General features: G+C 43.3%; 1 protein-coding gene across 10 annotated transcripts in view; it reads right to left on the reverse strand.

Moving 5' to 3' along the window:
* The window catches only part of FOXP1 (forkhead box P1), a 629,271-nt gene that overhangs the window by 373,188 nt on the left and 246,183 nt on the right, over window positions 1–9,900 (reverse strand). The gene's annotated exons all lie outside the window — the stretch shown is intronic.

Here is a 9,900-nt window from a genome sequence, read left to right on the forward strand (position 1 = left end):
CAGAAGTGGCAACATTTTTCTAAATCAGTAATGTTCTCCCAGGGTATTCCCCCAACCTCTCTACACATGACAGTAGGCCACACAAGCACCTCAAATATTGTCATTTAAAACTACACCAGAAAGTTTATTCATCAGCAGTAGAGAGATCTGAAATTGTTTTTCATTGGTGAAATTAGTAGTGTTCAAGATACGTGATAAGCTGAAAAGACTGGGTGTAAACATGTTTACATTAAAGGAGGCAGAAGAATTTGGCAAACAGGCTGGGCACTCATGCCTGTAATCTCGGCACTTTGGGAGGCTGAGGCGGGCAGATGGCCAAGCCCAGGAGTTCAAGACCAGCTTGGCCAACATGGTAAAACCCCGTTTCTACCAAAGAAATAAAAAATAAAAATTTAAAAATTAAAAAAAAGAAGAATTTGGCAAATCAGGAGGCTCCCAGCTGAAGAACTGTGCTCCACACATAGATCTTATTTGGTACAATGAGGGAACCTGTCATCTTTGGACTAGAAAGTGGGTTGATCCTGCCATCAAAATATCATTGCTTGCTCCTTACCACACCTTTCATATGAGATGCCTGCTGGAGTCAGTGAGGGCAGCAAAGAGGGACTTCATGCCTCAGAGGAACACAATGTGTGACTTTTCTGGGCTTCCTTCTTGATACATTTCTGCCCATTTGGCAGAATTTTGCAGAGACTTGCTTTCAATGCAACCAGACACAAGATAGTGAAGAAATGCATAACCCTTTCTACAGCTGACCAGGGTAGCTACGGTATTGGCTAAAAGAATCTGACAGTTGGCTGGGCGCAGTGGCTCATGCCTGTAATCCCAGCACTTTAGGAGGCTGAGGCAGTTGGATCACCGGAGGTTGGGAGTTCAAGACCAGCCTGACCAACATGGAGAAACCCCGTTTCTACTAAAAATACAAAATTAGCCGACGTGGTGGTGCATGCCTGTAATCCTAGCTACTTGGGAGGCTGAGGCAGGAGAACTGCTTGAACCCAGGAGGCGAAGGTTGTGGTGAGCCGAGATCGTGCCATTGCACTCCAGCCCGGGCAACAAGAGCGAAACTCCATCTCGCTAAAAAAAAAAAAAAACAAAAAAAAAAAAACTGACAGTTTCAGAATGGCCAAATTGGCTCAGTTGGTCCTCAATATCCTCCACCTGTGACTGGCTTGGTTGCCCAGCCCTGAGCTCACGCCTGGTGCCCTTTGATCCAGCTGGACTGTGACCTGATCAAGCTGCTTGGGTGCAATGGCTGACATAGGTGGAATGAATGATCCCGTCACCCACTGAGATAGCCTTTCACAAAGTCTAGACCTCTTTTTTTTTCTTTTTCTTTTTTTTGAGAGGGAGTCTCCCTCTGTCGCACAGGCTGGAGTGCAGTGTCGTGATCTCTGCTCACTGCAAGCTCCGCCTCCTGGGTTCACACCATTCTCCTGCCTCAGCCTTCCGAGTAGCTGGGACTACAGGCACCCGCCACCAGGCTGGCTAATTTTTTTGTATTTTTAGTAGAGACGGGGTTTCACTGTGTTAGCTAGGATGGTCTTGATCTCCTACCTCGTGATCACCCGTCTCAGCCTCCCAAAGTGCTGGGATTACAGGCATAAGCCACCGCGCCCGGCCACAAAGTCTAGACCTCTTAAATCTCACAACACAGGGTTGTCCCAGGGCATCAGAGAGCAAAATGTTGAAAAAAAAAAAAAAAGACAGGATCTTCCCCTAAAGCACTGGGAGAAAACAGCCAGCAATAAACACATTTGCAGGTGGGTGAGATGAGAAGAACAACTATCAGAATTTGATCATGGTTTGAGGCCTAATACTTTCTATAGTACAGCACTGAGAAGAGTTACAGGGAAATGTCTAGGTGTAATTTTGATAACATTACCGCTGGAAGAATTCGCAGCATACATGTTCCAAAACAGTATCTACAATCAAGAACAATGTTAATATTTGATATCAGAATAAGATGATTTTTATTAACATGCGAGTGTTCATTTGACAAGACACAATCCTTTCAAAGAAAATAACATGCCAGACATAGTGGCTTGTGCCTGTAATCCCAGCTACTCAGAAGGCTGCAGGGTGGGAAGATCTCTTGAGCCTAGGAGTTTGAGACTAGCCTAGGCAACACAGGGAGAACCTGTTTCAAAAGAAAAGCAGAAAGAAAAGAAAAGAAAAAACATGAACTTATACATGTAATAACATGTATAACTCTTCCTCCTGCTATGCTTCAAAGCTGAAGCACACAATATCACTTCTCAGGCTGACATAAAACCAGCATAAAATGCTGTGTGATATGTACTTTAACATTCTCCTTTGCTTTCTACTTTTTCTTCATTGGGCAAAGGTTTTCTTAACTCTAAGGCACAATGATCCCACATTTTTAAGAGCATTTCTACTTTCTTGTGATTTTAATCTTATCAATATAAACAATTCATTACATATAAAATATTGTAAGTCACTTCTATGTTTTTATAAAACTTTTCATATAATTAAAGCGTCATGTCAGAAAAAAACATCCTTTGAGAAGATGACAGTCCACACATTTGAGTTTGAAATGCATCGATATTGACCATAGGAATGAACAAAAATAAAGAAGTGGAAGTCAGCGGTTCAGCAAACAGCCCTATTTTTGCTGTGCTTACTTTAATCCACAAAACCTACAGAAGGGAGAAAAACTGGTAAAGAATCTGTGGACAAATTTATAACTAAAAGAAATTTGCATTAAGTGCAATTAAGACATGAGTGCCCAATAATAGTAGATTGCCTTAATAAATTATGTTACATTCATGCAGTAGTGGAATATTATGCAGCCATTAAAAATAAGGTTATGTGGCAACATTTAGTGACATGGAAAAATGTGCTTGATAAAGCCTCAGGTAGAACTTATATTACAAAAGAGAGAGGCAGAGTTTGCAGAAGCACAGTTTTTGAATCTTGCTGAGTCCCCACATAAAAACATACAGAGCAACTAGAGAGCAAAACCAAAAATCCACAAGCAAACAAACATATAAGAAAATCAGGCCAGGCACAGTGGCTCCCACCTGTAATCCCAGTGAGAGGTGACAGCGTGCTGGCAGCCCTCGCAGCCCTCGCTTGCTCTGGGTGCCTCCTCGGCCTTGGTGCCCACTCTGGCCGCGCTTGAGGGGCCCTTCAGCCCGCCGCTGCACTGTGGGAGGCCCTTTCTGGGCTAGCCAAGGCCGGAGACGGCTCCCTCAGCTTGTGGGGAGGTGTGGAGAGAGAGGTGTGGGCGGGAACTGGGGCTGCGCAGGGTGCTTGTGGGCCAGCGCGAGTTCTGGGGTGAGTGGGCTCGGCGGCCCCGCACTTGGAGTGGCCAGCTGGCCCGCAAGCCTGGGGCAGTGAGGGGCTTAGCACCTGGGCCAGCAGCTGCTGTGCTCAATTTCTCCCTGGGCCTTAGCTGCCTCCCCGCGGGGCAGGGCTTAGGACCTGCAGCCTTCCATGCCTGAGCCTCCCCCCTCCCCACCCCCCGCCATGGGCTCCTGCGCAGCCCAAGCCTCCCCGACAAGCGCCGCTCCCTGCTCCACGGCACCCAGTCCCATCGACCGCCCAAGGGCTGAGGAGTGCGGGCGCACGGCGCGGGACTGGCACGCAGCTCCACCTGCGGCCCCGGTGCGGGATCCACTGGGTGAAGCCAACTGGGCTCCTGAGTCTAGTGGGGACTTGGAGAATCTTCACGTCTAGCTAAGGGATTGTAAATACACCAATCAGCACTCTGTATCTAGCTCAAGGTTTGTAAATACACCAATCAGCACCCTGTGTCTAGCTCAGGGTTTGTGACTGGACCAATCGGCACTCTGCATCTAGTTAATCTGGTGGAGACTTGGAGAACCTTTATGTCTAGCTAAGGGATTGTAAATACGCCAATCAGTACTCTGTGTCTACCTCAAGGTTTGTCAACACACCAATCAGCACCCTGTGTCTAGCTCAGGGTTTGTAAATACACCAATCAACACTCTGTATCTAGCTAATCTAGTGGGGAGGTGGAGAACTTTTGTGTCTAGTTCAGGGATTGTAAATGCACCAATCAGCACCCTGTCAACATGGACCAATCAGCTCTCTGTAAAACAGACCAACTGGCTCTTTGTAAAATGGACCAATCAGCAGGATGTGGGTGGGGCCACATAGAGAAATAAAAAGCAGGCTGCCCGAGCCAGCAGTGGCAACCCGCTTGGGTCCCCTTCCATACTGTGGAAGCTTTGTTCTTTCGCTGTTTGCAATAAATCTTGCTATTGCTCACTCTTTGGGTCCACACTGCCTTTATGAGCTGTAACACTCACCGCAGCTTCACTCCTGAAGCCAGCGAGACTACGAACCCACCGGGAGGAATGAACAACTCCAGACGCGCCGCCTTAAGAGCTGTAACGCTCACCGCGAAGGTCTGCAGCTTCACGCCTGAGCCAGCGAGACCACGAACCCACCAGAAGGAAGAAACTCCAAACACATCCGAACATCAGAAAGAAGAAACTCCGGACATGCCGCCTTGAAGAACTGTAACACTCACAGCGAGGGTCCGCGGCTTCATTCTTGAAGTCAGTGAGACCAAGAACCCACCAATTCCGGACACACCAGCACTTTAGGAGGCTGAGGTGGGTGGATCACTTGAGGTCAGGAGTTTGAGACTAGCCTGGCCAAAATAGTGAAACTCTGTCTTGACTAAAAATATAAAAATTGGCCAGGCATGGTGGCACGTGCCTGTAATTAATCACAGCTACTCGGGAGGCTGAGGCAGGGGAATCACTTGAACCTGGGAGGTGGAGGTTGCAGTGTGCTGAGATCATGCCACTGCACTCCAGCCTGGGCAACAGGGCAAGACTCTATCTCAAAAAAGTAAAAAATAAAATCAAGTGACCAGTGTCACTTTGAACACTGTAATACAACAGATGTGGAAAAGCTAAGACTAGCCTCAAGTCCTACAGAATAGTAGCACCTAGGTGGGAAGAAGCAGAGGGCGGCAATGCAGCAACGGAAAGAACTGAGAAAAAGAACCCCAGTATTGCCAATAAGTACTAAATGGACAGTATGGTGAGCCAAGTTTAAAATAGCAGCTGAACTTAGGGCTGTGGGGTATTTCCCGTTCCAACAAAGGGTCAGAGCAAAGGGCCCGTATTAAGAAAAGTCTGCAGAGCTGGGAGGAGTCTAGTGCTTATGAACTCTCAAAACTGGGCTGTGAGGTCTCCATTCTAGCATAGGACTCCACACTGAGGAAAAACTCCTGGCAACAGAATCAAAATCAAAAAGGACAGAGAAAACCAAGAGGAAAGATAAGAGAAAGGCCTCCCCAAAGTAGAGAAGAATACAGTAAAGATATTTTAGAAAGCATGCCAGTAGCCAAGTAGTAGAAAGTAACCCAAAAGAGAGAGAGCTCTAAGGAATTAGAAGATCTCTCTTAATACAGCCACCCTGCTAAAAGTTCAGAAAAATCACTTTCACGTAAAAATGAGCAATATAAAAATTTTGAGGTAAAATTCTATACAAAGTGATAAAAAAAAAGGAACAGAATAACATCTTACACAAAATGAAAGCATTTATCAGACATGTCATTACTTGTCTGTAACCTATTACTTCAAAATGAGCTAAAAGACATTAAGAATAAGATATACGGCCTGAAAGAATTACATAAATCAAGCCACGTACAGTGGCTCACACCTGTAATCCCAGCACTTTGGGAGGCCGAGGTGGGAGGATCACTTGCACTCACGAGTTTGAAGCCAGCCAGGGCAAGATGGCGAGACGCTGTCCCCACAAAAAAATACAAAGAAATAGCTGGGTGTGGTGGTGCGTGCCTGTGATCCCAGCTATTTAGGAGGCTGAGGTGGGAGGATCGCTTGAGCCTGGGGGCACAGGTTGCAGTGAGCTGAAATGGCACCACTGCACTTCAGCCTGAATGACAGAGTGAGACCCTATCTTAAAAAAACAAAACAAAAGAAAATAAACAAAAAAGAATTACATAAATAAGAATTCGACTGGCTGAGAAATGGGGGAAGAAAGAATAAACTTGAAAAAAAGAAAAATCATTCTAGAAATAAGAAAATACACTAGAGGGACAGATAGCAAATAGATACAACAAATAACGCTTTAAAAAAAACTAGAAGGTTAAAATGAAAAACAAAATCAAACAGAAATTAAGAGAGAGAGAAGGATTTAAGGGAAAGTATCGAATACTGAAGACAGGTAAAGGAGATCCAACATATAGAAAATAGGAATCCCTGGGTCAGGTGTGGTGGCTCACGCCTGTTATCCCACCACTTTGTGAGGCCAAGGTGGGAGGACTGCTTGAGCCCAGGAGTTCAAGACCAGCCTGGTCAACATGGCGAAATTCTGTCTCTACTAAAAAGACAAAAATTAGCCAGGCGTGGTGGCACATGCCTGTAGTCCCAGCTACTCAGGAGGCTGAGGCATGAGAATCGTTTGAACCTGGGAGGCACAGGTTGCAGCGAGCCAAGATCATGCTACTGTACTCCAGCCTGGGTGACAAAGCTCAAAACTAAAAGAAGAAAGAAAAAAAAGTAGGAATCCCTGGAGAGGAAAGCAAAGGAAGAAAATTGTCCAAATACCTAAAACTATAATTCAAAGAAACATTCCTGAAATTAAAAAAATATTCTGAAACTACATATTGCAAAAGGACCCTGGACACTGAAGCATATTTGCTCCAAATGACCGACACTAAGATATAATCTAATAAAATTACTGGACTTAAGACTTATTATGCCAGAAGAAAAAGGAGTAACATATTTAAGATATGCAAAGAAAAAATGTGAGGCAACATTTTTAATTCAGTAAAGATTGTGGTTTAAGTATAAAGAACACAGCAAACTGTTACGAAAATTCAAGAATTCAGGGAATACAGTACCCATGAGCCTTTTCCAAAAAATCTAACAGAAATGAAGTTTAGACAAAATGACTACAGACATTGACATAAGGACTGAAGAACTGGTACTGAGCACTGAACATACCTGTATTACTAAAAAGTACAATAGGGTTAGAGTTAAAAGGGGGAGAGTATCATATAAATGGCTAAATGTCCTGAAAATGCAAATCTAATACAACTATCAAAAAATAATGCAAAGAGTGAGTGGCTCACACTTGTAATCCTAGCACTTTGGGCAGCCAAGGTGGGAGGATCACTTGGGGCCAGGAGTTCAAGATCAGCCTGGGAAACCTAGTGAGACCCCACCTCTACAAAAAAATTAAATTAAATTAAATTAAAAATTAAAAATCATTAGCCAGGCATGGTGGCACATACCTGTAGTCCCAGCTACAACAGAGGCTGAGGTGGGAGGATCACTTGAGCCCAGGAGTTCGAAATTACAGTGAGCTATAATCGTGCCACGGCGCTCCAGCCTGGGCAACACAGCAATATCCTGTCTTCAAAAAAAAAAACATAATAATGGAGTTAGACTAGGGATAGCATATGTAATAAAATGTTTACTCTTCTTGCTAATCATAACTGGTAGTGGAAGTATTTAGTATTGTTATTCTAAGACTGTTGTGTGTAAGGTAGAGAAATAAGCAGATGGGCAATTATGGGATATTCTAATGCTACCATCCCCTTTGTTCTCGAGAACCAAAACTGTCAGCATGGAAGAAAGGAGATAAAGATGTAATAAATAGGAGGTTAAATAAAAGCCCTGTAATCCTGATTATGAAATGGAAATATCAGGATGAACTCATGAGGCCTGGACACACTCACAACAAGGAGCACTGTTAGCGCTAAGATAATTGTCTTGAAACACAAATTCCCACTAAAAGAAATGGGTTTCTAGATAAATGGTTGATTTCAATTCTCAGGTAAGAAATGTACAAGGTGGCCAGGCGTGGTGGCTCACGCTTATAATCTTAGCACTTTGGGAGGCCGAGGCAGGTGGATCACCTGAGTTCAGGAGTTTGAGACCAGCTTGGCCAACGTGGTGAAACCCCGTCTCTACAAATAATACAAAAATTAGCTGGACTTGTTGGCGTGCACCTGTAATTCCAGCTACTCAGGAGGCTAAGGTAGGAGACTCAGGCGGGGGTGGAGGCGGAGGCGGAGGTTGCAGTGGACCAAGATCGTGCCATTGCACTCCAGCCTGGGCAATAACAGCGAAACTCCATCTCAAAAAAAAAAAAAAAAAAAAAAAAAAAAAAAAAGGTACAAGGTGAGTCTGAAACATTCTGTCATAGCAGGGAGCAAAGAAGCTATGAAAGACCGTAGGGTCATATCAGAAGGACAGAGGAGCGAATGCAAAGAAGTTACACTCATGAAAGACAGACAATTTGATCTTCAATAAAAGTTTAAAAAATGCAATAAATTGAAATCTACTAACATGTTTAAATTTATAGTTTATAAAAACATAAAAAATTTTTAGTTTATTTTATTTTTATTTTACTGTAAGTTCTGGGATACATGTGCAGAATGTGCAGGTTACACAGGTATACGTGTGCCATGGTGGTTTGCTGCACCTATCAACCAGACATCTAGATTTTAAGCCCCACATGCATTAGGTATTTGTCCTAATGCTCTCCCTCCCCTTGCCCTCCACCCCCCGATAGGCCCCAGTGTGTGAGGTTCCCCTCCCTGTGTCCATGTGTTCGATAAAAACATGAAAATTTAATGGTTACTTTCAGAAAAGGAGAGCGAGTCAACTCATTATTTTGAAACTTAGTAAATAGAGGGAAAGAATTCGACATTTATCCTGTATTACCTAAATGAACAGTACCACTGGGTAACTAAAGAGTAGATGAAGAATAAAATTACAAAAGCATCCCAGCTAGTAAGTAGAATTAGAATATCACCGTGTTGCATCTCCCAGTGAATTAATGGATCTAGGCAGTAAGGATTAATGACCGTCAATATCACAAAAAGGAAGACAATAAGATATTATATCCCTCACAAATGAAAGAACACAACACCACCTAGAGTTGTGCTGAAGGGATCAAACATGAGCCTCTGGATCCAGCTTGCCAATGTGCAGGAGATAGAGAAGGCAGAGGGACATGTTGAACTGAGGATGCAATCAGCAACTTCCAGGCTCTGGGGAACCCTACAGCTCAGGGGGCCAGGGATCTCTGAAAGGTGGTAAAGTACAAAGAAAAGAAAGGCATAGACAGGAAATCTTCAGATTAAGAAACTTAAAAGACATATCAAACATTTAAAAAGTGGACAATATTAAACTGTGGTGTCTAAGGATGCACATGTAGGTGATCAAATAATTAACAAATGGAAATGATTATGATAAAAGTAAAAACATGAGTTGTTTTTGGAAAGGGCTGTGAGTGGAACAGGACACAGGAGAAACTTCAAGGTGGCTAAGTTCAATTTCTTGATTTGGGTGGCAAGGTTCCCTGCCTTAAAACAATTTTTATGTAAATATATACAAATACATATATATGAATGCAACTTAATACAGTAGCCACATATGGCTATTAAAACGGAAATTTAAAATTAGGTAAAATTTAGTCCCTCAGTTATACTAGCCACATCTGCAGTGCTCAGTAGACAATGGCTACCTTTTATACAGTATGGAAATAGGACATCTGGTTCAGAACTGATCTGTGCGCGAGCATGTGTATAGTTGGGAGTGGGTGGGTAGTTTTCTATAACTGTTCTACTTTATAAAAATATTGAAAGTGCAGGCCCCCAAATACATTACATAGCTATACATATATTATCTCAAATATAGAAATATTGGCTATTCTTTGAAGTAATAACAAAGGGCATATACCTTCCAGAAGATTGATCAATGATATGAAACCATTTTATGCCATGACACAGCAGGGACCCCAATCAGTCCAATGGATCTGACTTCCAGTTGCTGGTACATGGTAGCAAAAACTTTCATCTCAAGGATAATGTAGCTGTGATCAGAAAAGGTTAATAAGCTCTTCTCCATTATGGATTGA

This window comes from Homo sapiens, chromosome 3 (genome assembly GCF_000001405.40).
Source record: "Homo sapiens chromosome 3, GRCh38.p14 Primary Assembly".
Lineage (NCBI taxonomy): Eukaryota > Metazoa > Chordata > Mammalia > Primates > Hominidae > Homo > Homo sapiens.